Source organism: Homo sapiens, chromosome 3, assembly GCF_000001405.40.
Source record: "Homo sapiens chromosome 3, GRCh38.p14 Primary Assembly".
Taxonomy (NCBI): domain Eukaryota; kingdom Metazoa; phylum Chordata; class Mammalia; order Primates; family Hominidae; genus Homo; species Homo sapiens.
This window is the reverse complement of record NC_000003.12, coordinates 37,077,323-37,096,665: the sequence shown is the minus strand read 5'-3', so window position 1 is coordinate 37,096,665 and position 19,343 is coordinate 37,077,323. Positions and strand designations below refer to the sequence as shown.

Genomic DNA, 19,343 nt, shown 5'->3' with positions numbered 1-19,343 from the left:
TCTAGTTGGATGAAAAATCTGACAAACAGTATGCTGAAAATTATACAAGAGTGAGTATGTAAATTCCTAAGGGAAATTCTCAAGGTCAATTAAACTTGCTATCTGTAACTTGTTCATTATTTATTTTACAACAATTGGTCTGATGTAGCTGCTCTTCCTCCCTTCATCTATTTCCTGTCCTTGACCCTCCAAAATTCCTTCGGAGTTAAATCATGTGAGGCCCTGGGAAGAGAAGAGGCACTGCATTTTATTTCCTTGAATGTCACCTCTTTAGCTTTTGGCTGCTCTTTTGATTTTCATTCCTCTAGAAATTGATCCTGAGAAGAAGCCAGTAAACACTGAAAATGAAGTTTCTTTAGGAATGGTGGTGACAAACTCTGAGATATTTTTTCCTTTTATATATATAAATTGTTTCTTGAAGTAAAATAACTCCTTTCTAGAATTTGCTTTGTGTTAAAGTCTCTTTCTTCTGAAAGTATTATTAGAAAGTCAGGGAGATGATTTATCAAGATTAATTTTATGCTATACCCAAGAAAGATAAATTAACTCTGTCCAGTAGAAATGTAATGCGAGCCACAAATGCGAACTTATATGTAAGTTTAAATTTTCTGGTAGCCACATTTAAAAAGTAAAAAGCAGGTAAAATTAATTTAGGTGATATATTTTATTTAATCCAAATATCCAAACTATTTCAACATATAACCAATATAAAATTACTAGGCCAGACTAGGTAGCTCATGCCTGTAATCCCAACACTTTGGGAGGCCAAGGCAGGTGGATCACTTGAGGTCAGGAGTTCGAGACCAGTCTGACCAACACGGTAAAACCCTGTCTCTGCTAAAAATGCAAAAAAAATATTAGCCAGTCATGGTTTTGCGTGCCTGTTGTCCCAGCTACTCCTCAGTCTGGGAGGCTGAGGCATTAAAATTGCCTGAACCCAGGAGGTAGAGGTTGCAGTGAGCCAAGATTGTGCCACTGCACTCCAGCCTGGGCAACAGCGAGACTCCACCTCAAAAAAAATAATAAAAATAATAAATATAAAATTATTAATGAGATATATTTCATTCTTTTTTCTACACTAAGCCTTCAAAATCTGGTATGTATCCTATATGCAACTCTCAATTTGGACTAACCACATTTCAAGTGCTCAGTAGCTGCATGTGGCTAATCGCAAGTATATTGGACAGCACAGATTCATGCAGTTTATTAATCAATAGCATAATCTCACGTTTAAATGAATTTTGGGAAGAACAGTCTACATTCATAGTGATATCCAGTGTTGCTACTCTCTGCTGCAAATAGTATCTTCACCTTTATCAACTCAACAGAGTATTAGAGAAAGAAGAGATTGATAAGCAGTTCAGAAATTAAAAAGGGGAAGTGCTGATTAGCATATCAGTTATAAAATTCTAAAACTGCTTTAAGTTAATCTGATGTGCTCACTTAAGTATTGTTTACAGGATAGCAAAGATAAACTTAGAAAATAACCCTCATAAAAACGATTTTCTTTTTGGTTATTACGAATTATAGATTTTGATAAGGTATTTGTGTCATGAAATTTTGCTTAGTATGCTTGGGCCCTTCTCTGTATACCTGGATACCTGCAAAGCCAATCTAAATTGACCATTGATTACACATGGTAACTTCTTCATCTGAAACCCACATCTTCCCCCAACCACCCTGCCCTGTTTTTAGTTTCCACAGCAAACATATTTTTAAAGAAATGAGACTTAGAAGGGTCATATTTCTCTTTCTAGCCTTCATCTCGAAATTCTGCCTCAGCAACAACCCCTCTAAGTGGAAACTCATCCAGACGAGGAAGTGGGGACACCAGCAGCTTAATAGATCCAGACACTTCATTAAGTGAATTGCGGGTAAACTGAAGTTTTTGGTTTTCTTTTTAAAAGCAGTTTTTTGACTTGGTAATATACTGGAACTTTTAACCTTTAATGTGACTTAGTAGAAAGAAGGAATATGATTTCTTTTTAAAAAATAAGTACTGTACAAAAGTGTGACTCAAGTGTTTCAGAGCTTGAAAGGAAGGAGATTAGATAGTTCTTTTTTCTGTCCTCTTTCCTGTAAATTTAATGGTGTTGGAATTTCTGCTAATTTACAAATGCCAAAAAAAACCCACTTTGTAATGTATGTAAAAGTAATTCTCTCAGAAACAACTGGCCATGTTTTAAATGGAAAATATGTGAGTGTACAAAGAACTAGATTGTGGGAATTATTAGTCTTTTGAGCCTTGATGGTATTCAGCTGCTTGAATATAGTTATCTCTCAGTTTTTCATAGTAATAGAAGTGTAATAATATTTGGGTAACAGAAATACCTGAGATAATGAAAAGCTTATTTGACTCATTAAGTCTCCATCCTTATTAACCCCTTTACTTGGAAAAAGAGAACTTTAAAAAATATATATTTTATTTGCTGAACCTGCTGTTTGTGAGGCAGGGGATAGTGAGAGAAATTGCATACATTTGTTCATTCAAGATTTATTGAGCACTTGGCCTTGGAGATTTAAGAGGCAAAATATGTTCTGGCCTTCAGGATTTCCCTTTTTCATAGGGAAGACAAACTGATACAAACCAATAAAACCAGGTGGTGTTATACAATGGTAGTAGCAAGAATGGGGCTGTTAAGGTAATTCAAGAAAGCATCATTTAAATTGGACTAGGAGAAGAGGTAACAAAAGGCTTTTCAGAAAAGACAAACTCTGAGCTAAAGTTTGAAGGAAAAATAAAAATTAACCAAGGAAAGTAATTGAAGGGGGAAGGCTTCCTCAAAGAGATGCATTCAGACAACCCAGAAAGCTACCTGTATAGCAAAGTTGCCAGAGGGTGGCATGAGAAGTGAAGAATAGTAGCGTGTAAGAGAGAAGGCTGGAAAAGTAGTGAGGGGCCAAATCACAAAGCATCTTGTATGCTAGCCTGAAAGGAATTCAGTTTTACCCTGACAACTGTGGGATATTAAATAGGAGAGCAATACTATCTGCTTTGCATTCTTAAAAAATAACTTTGATCACAGTCAGAGGAAGCATTGCAGGCCAGAAGTTCAGTAACCCTGTGGTTCAACAGTGAGGATGAGGTGAGCAAGTCAAAACTGCAAGGGGAGAAAATATGAGAAACTTGCTCTGGAGTGAATACGAGAGACTGGGAATTGGTTGGGCAATTGGTAGGGAGAGAGAAATTTAAGAAAAGGTTTTTAGCTTTCTTTTAAAGGTGAGAGTGATTATTATTTTCTTTGGTTGGGTTGAACCAGTAGAGAGAGGAGGAAGGTTGAGGAAGGAGAGAGGGGTAACTGACAGATCAAAATACCTGCGTGGGTGAGAGGAGAGTCCAGGACTCAGATGGATGAGCTTGCCTGGACTGGAGGTCCCCTCTTCACTGGAGGGGAGGTAGAGGACAGGCGGTGACTAAGATTGTAGGTAGGGGCTAGTCTGAGTGCAGTAATGTTTACAAGTAATTGATCACAAGCGGTTACAGATTTATTTGTTCCTTCTCCACCTTCATTGCTTCACTTGACTAGCCTTAAAAAAAAATTTGTCACCCATGTAATCCCAGGACTTTGGGAGGCCAAGGCAGGTGGATCACGAGGTCAGGAGTTTGAGACCAGCCTGGCCAACATAGTGAAACCCCGTCTCTACTAAAAATACAAAAAATTAGCTGGGCATGGTGGTAGCCACCTGTAATCACAGCTACTTGGGAGGCTGAGGCAGGAGAATTGCTTGAACCCGGGAGGCAGAGGTTGCAGTGAGCCGAGATCGTGCCTCTGCACTCCAGCCTGGGCAACAGTGCGAGAATCCATCTCAAAAAAAAAAATAAATTGTCGGTAGGGTTGGAAAAGGAGTCTTACTTGTGAAAATGGGTTGGGGGGTTAGGGGAGGATAGAGAGGCTTGCAACAGCGGCAGAGAAGGAGAGCACCTAGGCCAGCATGGCCATTGGTTTGAAGGTGACAGTATTAATTGAGCTCTTACCAGCTCTTACTATGTACCAGACATAAATGCCAGGGTGGAAAGTTGAATAAGATAAACTCTTGCCTTTAGCTACTGCATTCTAATGGGACAAAAGGATATGAGAGGACAAGGCCTTCCAGCCTTAGACTTAGCTTTCTTTTGTCATACTACTTGTTGCTTGTTTTTTCTTCCTTGAGAGAATGACCTTCTTGAAGGAAGTGTTATTTTTGTATCCTACCATCTGCCTCCTAAATAGGTCCTTCATAAATGTGTATTGAATGAATCGATAAGTAAAAGACAGTCAAACCTACTGGAGAGGCAATGAAGGAGGCAGGGAAAATATAATACCAAAAATGTGTATAATCAGCCTTTAATAATTGATCCTGCTTGTAATTGCAGAATTGTATTTAGGGCCCTGTGCAGTTATTTCGGACATAAATCGAGCATTCAGAATAGACCTTATATAACAAGGTCAGACACAGGGAAACAGTATTTTCCATTTAAAATTTGACCTGTTTCACTTTTCTTATAAGGATTATAGTAACATTTGGAGCAAGTGCTTTTCTCATCATTTAAATGGTATCCTCAGGATAGAATATCTCATTTGACATTCTGTTCAAAATGTTTAACTTCCCTCCCTTTACTCCCTTTCTCTCAAGTTAATTGTGGCCAGTAACCAAGTCATTGAAAGAAAACTTTGTTCATATTCATTTATTATATTTTTAAAAAACTTTTGCATGAATCATTAAAATTTGCCACCTCTTATTAATTTACTGTATATTTTACTAGTTCTAGGTGAAGCATTGTGCTAAAAAAATTTTAAGTGATTTATAAAATATTAAAAGTTGTATGATTTTAAATATTATAATTTATATAGCTTTTTCCTCCATATATAGCCCTGTCCCCATTTGCTACACTGTTATTAACAGAATTTAATGCCAAGAAAATATTTAACATTAGATTGATTACTCTAGACCTTCCCCCAGTCCCACTATCCCCTGACCTATTTGCCCTTTTCAGTGGTTGGGAGTGGGAGTTATGTTTTTGTACTTTGATTTCTCTGCTTTTAGTCTGGAATATACAAAAGTGAGTCACATTTCATCTGAATCCTTTGCGATTTAAGATACGTTTGTGCATGGTTTTATGCAATGGTTCATTCCTATGTCCTGCAGGATATCTATGACCTTAAGGACCAGATACAGGATGTAGAAGGGAGATACATGCAGGGGCTTAAAGAACTAAAGGTATCAGGGCCCATTCTGCAGCCCAAGCATGCTCTGTATGCAGAAGTGTTGGCAATGGTGGCTTTGCAAGTTCTGTTAACCAACTGCACATAGCTTTACTAACAGTGTTTGTCTTTCAAGCATGTGCTTAACCTGCAGTGCATAGGAATGGTGAACTTTCAATCTCTGCTTATGTTTAAATGTGTAGTACAGTTTTTGAATATTCCGCAGAAGATATCATTTACAGTTTTTTTTTTTTCTTTTTTATTTTTCTTGTACAGACAGGATCTTACTGTGTTGCCCAGGCTGGTCTCAAATTCCTGGGCTCAAGCCATCCTCCTGCCTTGGCCTCTCAAAGTGCTGGGATTACAGGCATGAGCCACCTCGCCCAGCCTCCTTTACAGTTTTAAAACCTTGTAAAATACATGCATATCCGTGGTGTCTTAGCCATACAAAATTAAATTGGTCAAACACCTAAAAAAATACTAAGAATATTTTTATTGAGAATTAGACCTCAAAATTTCTTCCACGCTAAATGAAAAAGTGTTGCATATTTCTGTTACCAAACTCAGTCAGTATTAAATGTGAGAGGAAGTAGCAACTGAGACACCATTATTATAAATATCCCCCCTGGAGGAAGGAACATGAAGGCATGAGGCCTATATTTTCTTTTGGCTTGGATTTTTTTAACCTATAGGTCAAAAAAGATGACACAGATCTAGTGCCTTAAAGAATTTGGAGGTAAATGTAAATGGTCTTTATCTTTTCCCAGAAAGGATCACTGACATTTTTCAATATAAATGTGTGAGGCAGACAGTTTGGTTGTACATAGCATTTGGTTATCATGCTCTTCTTTTCCTCACATGTCATTCTGAAGTTCAAGCCTCCTGTTATGAAGAAACCAGAAGTTTATTTGAACACATGTATGTCCTGATTTGAAATCAAAATACACACTACAGGGCAGGCACAGTGGCTCATGCCTGTAATCCCAGCACTTTGGGAGGCCGAGGTGGGCGGATGACCTGAGGTCAGGAGTTTGAGACCAGCCTGGCTAACATGGTGAAACCCTGTCTCTACTAAAAATACAAAAAATTCACCAGGCATGGTGGCAGGCGCCTGTAATCCAAGCTACTTGGGAGGCTGAGGCAGGAGAATTGCTTGAACCTGGAAGGTGGAGGTTGCAGTGAGCTGAGATGGTGCCATTTCACTCCAGCCTGGGTGACGGAGCGAGACTCTGTCTCAAAACAAACAAACAAACAAACAAACAAAAAAAGTAAAATACACACTACACCTCTAAAAAAGCAAAAAGCAAGACATTTAGAAGGGTGACTCAGGATATATCCAAAGGACAAAGCATAGATTTCATGGGCAAGGGTTTTGTCATCTTCCCTGGCATGATTTGAAGTAGCGCCACTATCAGCCAAACTCTTCATGCAAGTGATATGGTCCATGAGAAACAGAGTAAGACTCAGGACCCAAAAAGGTGAGAAGTCCAATGGGAAGTGCCCATGAGGGAAGCCTGCAAGTTGCTGATAGGGCAGCATGAGTTTGTCAGTAAATATCAGAAGAATTACGGAAATAGTTGATGTTCTCATTTAATCTTACTCCTTTAATCTTCAGGATTTAATCTCTCTTTTAAGGTTTTAGAGATACGACTTTTGAAATTATCTTGGATCAAACAAATCGGTACATTAAATAAATATATTAAAGTCACATGTGTAACAGTGTATCAGGAAAGCAATCATGTGATTCAGGGGCATTCTTACTGGCATTTTATTTAAAACGTTTTTTCCTTTCATGTTAGATCTACCATTTATTGCATTCTTTGAAGAATACAAAAGAACAGATTAGATTTGAGATTTGAACAGATGAGATCCCTTGTCCTAATTCATGCCAGAATATAATTGAACTTGACTTCAGATTACGTTTATCCTTGACACTTGAAGTGGAAAAAAACCCATAAAAATAAAGAAAAGATTGTCTGATTGGTGACCAAGCATGGTGGTATGATGTATCCTATTGAAAAAGGATGTTGGCTCATTGCTTGTGACATTACTGTTATTATGTTTGCCTTTGGGATGCTCTCAACCACTCTCCCCTCCATCCTTTTATCAGGAAAGTTTATTATTACTAATACAGCATTTGCCCATGCTGTACTAGTATATATGTGTATATATGTGTATATATATTCATGTGTACTATTACCCAGAAAATGCAGTAAAATATTAATTGTAAAATTTAGGTGATCTATTTCATGAAAGATTAACGATTTTGTAAGTCAAAGGACTAAACCCATTAACCCATTTTAAAAACTATTAAAATTAATACTTTATTAAATTTAAGTACAGAGTTATAGCAATAAATAACAATAGTAAATCTATAGTGACTGAAAACTTTCCAAGATGTATTGAAAAAAGGCAAGCTATAGAACAAAATGTAGAGTATATAATTTGTATTAAAAATATATATGAAGTCAAGGGTATATATTTTATACTGTAAACAAATAGGAAATGGCCTGAAAGATAATCTACCAAACCAATAGCACTTGTGCCTCTGGAGGGCGCGTGGTCAAGGAAGACTTTTGCTTTATCTGTATTATTTATTTTTACCTCCAATGAAAATCTTATGTTTTACTTAGGTACTTTTTTTAAAATTAAAATTTTATTTTTTTATTTAAAATTTTTTTTTAGAGACAAGGTCTCTTGCTCTGTCACTCAAGCTGGAGTGTAGTGACACAATCGTAGCTCATTGCCACCTTGAACTCCTGGACTCAAGCGATCCTAAGCCTGCTGGGACTATAGGGGTGCACCACCATGCCTGGCTGATGTTTTAATTTTTTATAGATACGGAGTCTTGCTATGCTGCCCAGGATGGTCTTGAACTCCTGGGCTCAAGCAGTTCTCCCGCTTGGCCTCTCAAAGCATTGGGATGACAGACATTAGCCACCATGCTTGACCCCTTCGCTTTTTTTTTTTTTTAAATGCAGTCTCACCATGTTGCTCAGGCTCATCTACAACTCCTGGGCTCAAGCAATCCTCCCACCTCTGCCTCCCAAAGTGCTGGGATTACAGGTGTGAGCCACCATGCCTGGCCAATGTTCTTTTTAAATATTGCCCATGCCTTTAATTCTTAGAAGGACAGTAAGAATAAGGAGAGAAATAGCTTTAACTTCAGTAATCCCAGAAAGAACTGTCAAGAGTTAATAGACTGTAGGGGTAAGTCTTGCCATCAGCTGTAAATTGACTGATGTATGAAGTGACTGAGAATAAAACAATGAAGGTATCATGTCCCTGAATTCAGATAGCTCACAATCTGGTTGACAATTTTGGTCATAGGGTTGTGAAGGCTTGTTCTAGAAGTATATGGGCATAGGTAATCAATGCTTAAACATTAACACAGTGGCTTCAGCACTTTGGTGTGTGTCATAATCACCTGGAGCTTTTAATAAATACAGATTGCTAGACTTTACCCTCAGATTTTCTATTCATTGGGTCTGGGATGGCATTGGAAATTTGCATTTTTACCCAGTTCCCAGGAGATGCTGTTGCTGCTGATCTGGAACCCACACTTTGAAAATCGGTGACTTAGAAGCATTCAAGGCTGGGCACGGTGGCTTACGCCTATAATCACAGCACTATGGGGAGGCTGAGGTGGGTGGATCACCTGAGGTCAGGAGGTCAAGACCAGCCTGGCCAACATGGTGAAACCCTGTTTCTACTAAAAATACAAAAACTAGCCAGGCATGGTGGCGGGAGCCTATAATCCCAACTTCTCAGGAGGCTGAGGCAGGAGAATCACTTGAACCCGGGAGGCTGAGGTTGCAGTGAGCTGAGATTGTGCCATTGCACTCCAGGTTGGGTGACACAGTGAGACTCCGTCTCAAAAAAAAAAAAAAGAAGCATTTAAGTAAAACCAATTCCAAATGGGTATCACTATGTGAGTGAGATTAAGATCACTAAAATACCTGACACTTCTGTTTAAAACAGTCTTTTGTGGTCTAGTGTTTAAAGGAAGATTACATTGGATACATTTATGTCTTATTTATTGTATTATATATTTTGTGCATGCATCTAGTACTTGAGCTATCTTAAATTCTGGTGTTCATGTGGTTTTATATGGCACTGAGTTGTGATGACTTTTTTCCTGCTATTAGCCTCTCAGATGGATGAGAATTATTTAAAGTCTGCAGTATAGTAAGATACATTTAGATACATTTAGAGCACTGTATAATTGACTTTGCTTATATTCTTTGTTTTGGTTAAATTTGTTTCTAATCGTAGTTTAAATCTTCCCTGACAACTTAATTCTGGTTTATGAAGCATTATTAAAAGTGTGTGTGGCCAGGCGTGGTGACTCATACCTTCAATCCAGTTTTGGAGGCCAAGGTGGGTGGATCACTTGAGCCCAGGAGTTTGAGATCAACCCGGGCAACATGGTGAAACCTTGTCTCTACAAAAAATTAGCCAGGTGTGGTAGTACGTGCCTGTGGTCCCAGTTACTCGGGAGGCTGACATGGGAGGATCACCTGAGTCTGGGGAGGTCGAAGCTGCAGTTAGCTGAGATTGTGCCACAGTGGTCTAGCCTGGGTGACAGAGTGAGACCCTGTCTCCAAGAAAAAAAAAAAAAAGTGTGTGTATGTATGTATGTATTTTTATTTAGATATAATTCACATTCCATAAGAATTTACCCATTTAAAATATATAATTCAGTAGTTTTTAGCATACTCACAGAGTTGTGCAACTAGCACCACAACCCATCTTTAGAACATTTTCATCAGCCAGAAAAGAAACCCCAATCACTAACTTTCTGTCTCTGTAGATTCGCCTATTCTGGAGATTTTATACAAATGGAATCATACAATATGTGGTCTTTTGTGATTGGCTTTCATTTAGCATAATATATTCAATATTCACCCATGTCATGTTATCTGTCAGTCTTTTTTTAATGGCTAGATAGTATTCTACTGTATGGATTTGCTGCATTTTGTTAATCCATTTGTCAGTTGATAGGCATTTGGGTTGTTTATACTTTTCTGTCTATTATGAATAATGCTGCTGTGAACATTTGTGTGCAAGTTTTTGTGTAGACATATCTTTTCAATTCTCTTTGGTAGATTGCTAGGAATAGAATTGCTGGCTCATGTGGTAACACTATATTTAACATTTTGAGGAATTGTCAAACTGTTTTCCAAAGTAGCTGCACCATTTTATGTTCCTACCAGCAATATATGGGAAATGTAGTTTCTCCACATCCTTACTAACACTTGTCTTCTGTATTTTTGATTATAGATTATAGCCATCCTAGTGAGTGTGGTGGTATCTTATTGTGGTTTCGATGTGCATTTTCCTAATGACTAATGATGTTGAGCGTGTTTTCATGTGCTTATTTGCCATTTGCATATCCTCTTTGGAGAAATATCCAGGTCCTTGCCCATTTTTAAATTGATTTGTGTGTCCTTTATTGTTGAGTTGTAAGAGTTGTTTATATATTATTCTGCATATAAGTCCCTTATCAGATATAAGATTTATAAATATTTTCTCCCATTCTGTGGGTTGTCTTTTTACTTTCTTGATCATATCATTTGCAGCATAAAGGTTTTACATTTGGGCCAGGCGCAGTGGCTCATACCTGTAATCCCAGCACTTTGGGAGGCGGAGGTGGGCAGATCATGAGGTCAGGAGTTCGAGACCAGTCTGGCCAACATAGTGAAACCCCATCTCTACTAAAAAATACAAAAAATTAGCCGGGAGTGGTGATGTGTGCCTGTAATTCCAGCTACGCGGGAGGCTGAGGCAGGAGAATCGCGTGAACCCGGGAGGTGGAGGTTGCAGTGAGCCAAGATCGCGCCATTGCACTCCAGCCCGGGCAATAATGTGAGACTCCATCTCGAAAAAAAAAAAAAGTTTTATATTTGAGTGAAGTCTTTTTTTTTGGTTTATAATGCTTTTTGTTTGTTTGTTTGTTTTTGAGACATGGTCTCACTCTGTTACCCAGGCTGGGGTACAGTGGCATGATCTTGGCTCACTGCAACCTCTGCCTCCTGGGTTCAAGCAATTCTCCTGCCTCAGCCTCCTGAGTAGCTGGGATTACAGGCACCCACCACCATGCCCGGCTAATTTTTGTATTTTTGGTACAAGAGATAGGGTTTTAGGGTTTTACCATGTTGGTCAAGCTGGTCTTGAACTCCTGACCTCAAGTGATCCACCTGCCTCAGCCTCCCAAAGTACCAGGATTACAGGCATGAGGCACCGCACCCGGCTGGTTTATAGTGCTTTTGGTGTATCTGAAAAACCATTGCCTATCCCAACTTCATGAAGATTTGTCCATATTTTCTTTGAAGCGTTTTATTGTTTTAGCTCTTACATTTACATCTATGGCTTATGCTGAGTTAATTTTTGTGTATGGTGTGAGGTGGGAGTCCAACTTCATTCTTTTGTTTGTGGGTATCCACTTGTCCCAATACCATTTATTCTTTTCCCATTGAGTTACATGGACCCCTTTGTCCAAATTAACTGATTGTAAATGTAAGTTCTGGGCTGTTAGTTCCATTTCATTGATAAACATTTGTGCTAGTATTTTTTAAATTTATTTCCATAAATGATTACTTTTCCTGTGTGAAACATTTTTTTTAGCTTTAAAAAAGTCATTAGGCAGTAGTAATTACCAAAGTAGATATAGTTACACACAAAAAAACATGTAAGCTATTTTAGGCAGAAAATTTTGAGATATGTAACGTTCCAGGCATTTTGTGGTACCTTTTTTTTTTACTTCAAAACTGTGACACTAGATCAGACTCTCTTATTTTGTTTTGTTTTATTGATAGAGATAGGGTCTCGCTCTGTCACCCAGGCTGGAGTGCGGTGGCACAATCTCTGCTTACTGTAGCCTTGACCTCCTGGGCTCAATCGGTCCTCCCACCTAGCATCCCAAGTAGCTGGGACTACAGGTGTGCGCCACTGTGTCTGGCTAATTTTTGTACTTTTTTTTTTACAGAGACAGGTTTTTGTCATGTTGCCCAGGCTTGTCTTGAGCTCCTGGGCTCAAGCAGTCTACCCCCTTGGCCTCCCAAAGTGCTGGGATTACAGAGATGAGCCACTGTGCCTGGCCAAGCTCTTTTTTTAATATTCATTTTTGTGTTGCTTATTTAAACATGATTGAAATTTGGATAATTGCTAGAAAAAATATTTACCTTTATGTTGGCATTTTTATGCAGAACAGGAAAGTACTAAAAACAACTGTCTAGAAAGTGGCAAAATTCAAATGCGTATGAAGTTCACCTGTGTAAAGAGAGGCTGTATTCTGTGGTATCACTGCGTTCTGAACACCAGTCTGTTATTAAAATTATAAGAGTAAAATTTCTGAAAATATTGATGATTCTTCATTTTATGACCCTTACAGATATATGTTGTTGCAATTCTTTTCATCTTTCAGAGGCTATGTTGCTGCTTAATTTTGTTTTCTTGGGGAACAGAGAGCACATATTGTTCTTATAAAGGCATTATCGGCTTATTATTGTCTTCCTGTTTCACATGCATGTTACTAAACAAGGAGTTCCCCAAACCGCTTGTATTTTATGAAAATGCATCTTTATGTGTTTGTGGCAGTGCTATAATTTCCTGTTATATTGCATGTATTCAATTAACATTTTAGATATCAGACTGATGACTTAACTCTCATTTAGGAATCTTTGTCTGAAGTGGAAGAAAAATACAAGAAAGCCATGGTTTCCAATGCACAGTTAGACAATGAGAAGAACAATTTGATCTACCAAGTAGACACACTCAAGGATGTTATTGAAGAGCAGGAGGAACAGATGGCAGAATTTTATAGAGAAAATGAAGAAAAATCAAAGGTAATGCTTATCTTGTATTTTCTCTTGGGGCAGAAAATAAAAGCCTGCCACTTACAAAGTGATGGAAGATTGCAGCATACTTATTTAGGAATGATGTTTCAGTCAAAACTGAATGGCCCAAGGAAATTGACAGAACACCATGAGATATCAGGCCCTGGATGACTCTTTTTTTATTTAAAAAAATATTTTCTTGAGGAAAAGCTTATGTCTTCTGTTAAGTTTCTGAAAATAGAATACAACTCAAGTTTTAGCTTCATTTTCTATCTCTTAATTGGGACTGTAATTACAGTGTTACTTATTTCTTCTGGTTACAAGTGACTGGAACTCCCGCAAAGCTCCAAAGACTCTCAATAGGATGATTCATTTTTTTTCTATGAACTTCTGAACGGTTCAAGAGAATCCATTTTCTAAATAATTGGATAGAAGTCTTTAATCAGTTATTTAAAATCAGCAATTTGGAGATGTGGGTCAGAAATTGAAAGATGTTTTCTTTAGAGGTTTATAAGTTGTAATGTTAAAATGTACAGATGGAGAATATAACGCATTGTCCAAGGCCCAGATTTGCTCTCTGACAACTGCAGAAAACAAATTGGATTCTTTTAAAAGCATATGTTTTAGACTTTTTGAAGGGTTGATGTCAGTTCAAGCAGAGGTCAAATGGGTATTATTGCCAGAAATGGATTGCTACTACATTGCCAATATAAAAAATCCAGAAAATAATTTAGGAAGTGCATATTGATAAATTGTTAGAAACAGCAATCTGAATTTGCACATAATAAAGGGAGAGAAGCTGTTTATATAACCTGTAGGAGACCAACATTATTACTGTAGTCTTTATAGGAATTTCTTTCCTTGAGGACTAGAAATGCCCATTCCAGCCTGTTTTGGTCACATTCAAAAAGTGTTAGAAAGTGTTTGCCAGGCGTTTGGAGGAGAGGGATGAATAGACCAGAGCACAGAGGATTTTTAGGGCAGTGATACTATTCTGTATCATATTATAATGGTGGATACATGTTATTATGGATACATGTATGGATACATTTGTCCAAAACCATAGAATGTACACCACCAAGAGTGAACCCTAATGTAAACTCTGGACTTTGGGTGATAGTGATCTGTCAATGTTGGTTCAGTGATAGAACGAAATGTACCACTCTATTGTGGGTTGTTTATAATAGGGTAGACTGTGCGTGTGTGGGGACAGGGAGTATATGAAAACTCTCTGTACTTTAAACATAATTTTACTGTGAATCTTAAACTGCTCTAAAATTGTTTATTTAGGATTGGTATTTAGATGGTGAAAAAGAGGCTTCTAGTTGTTTTCATATTGGACTGACAGTGGCCCATTGAAGAGCATTATATATGCTAGATATGTATATCTTTGATTCTTCTTATATATCCCATAGGCCATTTTTGGAGATTCTGAGCCATCATGCTTTTCCTAGAGCCTCTGGACTCCTTTTTTTGCTGTCCCACACATTTTTTCTTATCTGTCTTTGGCTCTTTGCTTCTAGCAGACTAGAGTAAAAATCTCATGCTAAGTATTTAAGGGTCATTACTAAAATGAATTATCTTTCCATCGTCTCAAATATCCTTCAGCATTTTTAAAAATAAAGAAAACCCTTATAATTAGCTATTTTAACCAACTTAGTTTTTCCCTCCATCATTTTAGAAGGTAATAGAGTTATTTTAGTATGCATAGAGTTGTTTTCTTAATCTTGTCCTTTTTTTTTTTTTTTTTTTCTTTTGGAGACAAGGTCTCACTCTGTAGCCCAGGCTGGAGTGGAGTAGCGCAAGTATAGCTCACTGCAGCCTCTGTCTCCAGGCTCAAGTGATCCTCCCACCTCAGCCTCCTGAGTAGCTGGGACTACAGGCACGTACCACCACGCCTGGCTAATTAAAGACAAATTTTTTTTTATAGAAACGGTTTCACCATGTTGCCCAGGCTGGTCTCGAACTCCTGGGCTCAAGCAATCCACCCACCTCAGCTTCCCACAGTGCTGAGATTACAGTTGTGAGCCACCGTGGCAGGTCTTGTACTTTTCAAACCTAAAATGTATTGTTTTTTTTAATACCCTGGAAATTTGCTTCACGTACTGTGATGCAGAACACTTTGTGACAGTATCTCTTTCTAACATACCTTTACTCCGAGCTCTCTTGTTCTAAACAACTATTGCTTTATAAAGTAGAATGTTTATATTCAGAGATACACAAAGAGGTCAGGCATTCTGGTGTATTTCATTACAGAAGCAGGTAGTGAGAGTAGAGAAGGACCATTCCATAATAATTATACAGTATTAATAAAAATTTTCAAAATGTCTTTGGTGCCTCCTCCTGGAATTACAATAACTATTTTGTTTTATATTTTAATTTAATTTAATTTTATTGTTTTTACAGACAGGGTCTTGCTCTGCTCCCCAGGCTGGAGTGCAGTGGCACGATCATAGCCCACTGTAACTTTGATCTCCTACGCTTAAGTAATCTGGAGTAGCTAGAACTGTAGGCACATGCTACCATGCCTGGCTGTTTTTTAAAAATCTTTTTGTGGAGATGGGGCCTTGCTGTATTGCCCAATCCTCCTTCTTTGACCTCCCAAAGTGTTGGGATTACAGGCATGAGCCACTTTGCCCAGCCCATTGTTTCTCTTTTAAAGCATAATCAAAAGACCATTTCACACCTGTAAAATTAACAATAATTCATATTATATATCTAATCAATGTTAAAATTTCAGTAGTTTCAAAATGTCATAAATGATTTTTCTTTTTTACACTTAAAAAAATCGGGATCCAGGTAAGTTTCACACCTTAGAATGAGTTGATAAATCTTTTAAGTCTCTTTTCATGTATAGGTCCTCTTTCATGTTTTTTCTCCTTATAATATATATGTTGAAGAAACTGGGTTGCTTAATATTTCCCAGTCTTACAAGTTTTTCCGTTTTCGTCCCCATAGTATCTTTACCATGTTTCCCTTTCCTCTGTATTCTCTGTAAATAGGTAGTTAGGCACAGAGGCTTAATCAAATATAACTTCAGTTTTTTTTGAAAGTCTGCTTCATAGATGATGCAGTTGTCTTCCTTCAGGAGGCCCAGATGTGTGGCTGACTGTTAGGCTGTATGTGTGTGCTTAGATCCTTTAATTGACTAGGGGCTGCAAAATGGGATGTTCTGATTTTATCATTACCAATTTATTTTATTTTATGTTATTTTATTTATTTTTTTAAATTTTATTTATTTTATTTTTTTAGACGAGTTTTGCTCTTGTTGCCCAGGGTGGAGTGCAATGGCGCAATCTCGGCTCACTGCAACCTCTGCCTCCCGGGTTCAAGTGATTCTCCTGCCTCAGCCTTCTGAGTAGCTGGGATTACAGGCATGGACCACCACGCCTGGCTAATTTTGTATTTTTAGTAGAGATGGGGTTTCACTTTGTTGGTCAGGCTGGTCCCGAACTGACCTCAGGTGATCCACCCACCTCGGCCTCCCAAAGTGCTGGGATTACAGGTGTGAGCCACTGCGCCTGGCCTATTTAATGTTATTTTTAAGCAGCTTTATTGAGATATAATTCAAATAACATACAAATCATCCATTTAAAGTGTACAATTCAGTGGTTTTTAGTATATTCACATATATGTGTAACCTTCATCACAGTTACTTTTAGTATGTTTTCATTACCTCAGAAAGAAACCATATACCCTTTAGTATCATCTTCCTTTCCCCCAAACCCCTCAGTCTTAAGTAACCACTGATCTACTTTCTATCTATAGAGTTCCCTATTCTAGACTCATATGAAAGGAGTCATATAATACATGGTCTTTTGTGACTGGCTTCTTTCGCTTAGCGTGATGTTTTCAAGGTTCATCCATGTTATACCATGTATCAATACTTAATTCCTTTTTATAGCCTATTAATATTCCATTTTTTTGGGTATGCTACATTTTGTTTACCCATTTGTGCATTGATTGACATTTGGGTTGTTTATACTTTTTCCTGTTAAGAATAATGCTTCCATAAACATTTGTATACAGGTTGTTTTTTGGACGTAAGTTTTCTTTTTCTTTTTTATTCTAAGAGATGGGGCCTTGCTATGTTGCCCAGGCTGGTAACTCCTGGCCTCAAGCAATCTTCCTGCCTTGGCCTCCCAAAGTGTTGGAATTACAGGCATGAGCCACTGCTCATGGTCTGGATATATGCTTTCCTTTTTCTTAAGTATATACTTGGGAGTGGAATTGCTGATTCATACGATAAATCTGTGTTTAACCATTTGAACAGTGCCAGACTGTTTTCCGAAGTGGCTGCACCATTTTATATTCTCACACCAGCAATGTATGCAGGTTTTGATTTCCCCACATCCTCACCAACACTTGTTATCTGTCCTTTTTATTCTAGCCATCCTAATAGGTGTGGTTTTGATGTGCATCTCCCTGGTGACTAATGATTTTGAACATATTTTCATGGGCTTATTGGCTATTTGCATATCTTCCTTGGCAAAATGTCTATTCAGATCCTTTGTCCATTTTAAAATTGGATTTTGCCTTATTATTATTGACTTGTAAGGTTTATATATTCTAGATATAAGAATTTTATCAGATATATTATTCGCAAATATTTTCTCCCTTTATGAGTTTTCAAAAAAAGGAATTGGTTGTGACCAATTACTTTTCTCTTAAAATATCAATATGAAGTCATAAATTCAAGCATTTGATATCTTCAGTTGCATTGCAGCTTTTATTCTTTTTGATGATAAAATTGTCCCATCTTTGGCTAATGTGAACCTCTTGAGGTTGATTCTCAAGTACTTCTGGTGAGTCTAATTGTTTTTGATAGCTTCTTTGCTTTCTGGCAGAAGATGTCCCAGTCTCATCTTGTACATTTTCTGCCCCAGACCTGGAATCAGCCATTTGTCCAAGGAGCCCTAGTTCTGTTTTAGTATGAGTGCTAGAGATGCTCATTGCCACCAAGTAGGTCAGTGTTTATGGGTCTTTTCAGTGGATAAATTTGGGAAATATGTGTGTGAAGTTTTTTTTTGTTTTTAACAACAAAATACATTATGAGTTCTTGCTGATAGTTCCAGTTCACATGCAGGACTCTAGGGTTATTTAACCTCTTCTGTCTTACATCTGTATCTTTGTTTGTTTCCCCTACACTACAATTCCTAGTTCTCAAAGTTTCTAGGGATGATAGTAATTATGTTACGTTCTGTTCTCTTTGCTTTATCCGAAGTTGCCTAGAATAGCAATACCAACATTAACACCAACAATTTAATTACTGAAAATAGTTAAAAGATTTTTATTTTGTTTGTTTTGCTTGGCTGTTATTTTTGCCACTAGTCTGTGTGTGGCCAAACTATTGTTTTTAGAAGTTACTTGAAATAGTTTCTTTCTGCGCTTCTAACTGGATGTATAGTTAGGTTCACTGCATTTTATTTTCAATATTTGGAATTACTTTTAAAATTATTTTTATTTTAAAAAATTTAATTATCATTAAAAAACATGATAAATTTATTATCTTAACCATTTTAAAGTGTAGAGTTCAGTAGTGTGAAGCATATTCACATTAGTGTACATCAGATCTCCAGAAATTTTTTATCTTTCAAAACTAGAACTCTGTACCCATTAAACAATTACCCATTTCTCCCTACCACCAGCCCTTGGCAACTACCATCCTACTTTCTGTCTCTGTGAGTTTGGCTACTCTGTGTACCAAACTCATAAGTAAGTAGAATCATATAATAATATATCTTTTCTTGACTGGTTTACTTCATTTAGCATAATGTCCTAAGGCTCATCCATGTTGTAGCGTGTGACAAGAGTTTCTTTTTTAAAGCTGAATAATATTCCACTGTATATATACCACATTTTGCTTATGCATTCATCTATCAATGGCCACTTGAATTGTTTCCACTAGGAATTGCTTTTTAAATTTAATTTTGTTTTACAATTTTGTAACTATCTAGAATAGTTACATAGATCTGGAGTCACGTTAACAAAGAATATATCTGAAGAAGTTAATCTTCTATCCCTGTCTCTGTCTCTATTTTCTCCTTCCTTTAGGGAATTTTAAATTTTAATGGTTTATCTTTCCATGTTTTAAATCCAAGAAGATAAATTAGGTAGCCATTTTTAATCTAAAAAGATATATATGTATATATAATCATTCAAAATATATGTACAAATATATGTATTTCTTACTCTTCTTAGAAAATAGTAGCATATTGTTAATATAAATGCTGTCGTGCATGTAGATTTTATCACCTTATGAATGTTGTATAGAGATATCTTGCTCATTCTTTTTCACCACTGCATAATTATTCCACAGTAT

At 37.2% G+C, this 19,343-nt stretch overlaps 1 protein-coding gene across 55 annotated transcripts in view; it reads left to right on the top strand.

Annotated features, from left to right (window-relative positions):
• LRRFIP2 (LRR binding FLII interacting protein 2) overlaps positions 1 to 19,343 on the top strand; it is a 123,735-nt gene that overhangs the window by 79,695 nt on the left and 24,697 nt on the right. For 39 of the 55 annotated variants that reach the window (NM_001134369.2, NM_001348305.1, NM_001348301.1 and 36 more), the window contains 4 exons: positions 6 to 50; positions 1,758 to 1,874; positions 5,128 to 5,199; positions 12,860 to 13,030. In NM_001134369.2, the coding sequence (NP_001127841.1) occupies positions 6 to 50; positions 1,758 to 1,874; positions 5,128 to 5,199; positions 12,860 to 13,030 (405 nt within the window). The remainder of the gene's footprint in view (positions 1 to 5; positions 51 to 1,757; positions 1,875 to 5,127; positions 5,200 to 12,859; positions 13,031 to 19,343) is intronic. The other 16 variants (NM_017724.2, NM_001348308.1, NM_001348304.1 and 13 more) reach the window with 1 other exon arrangement.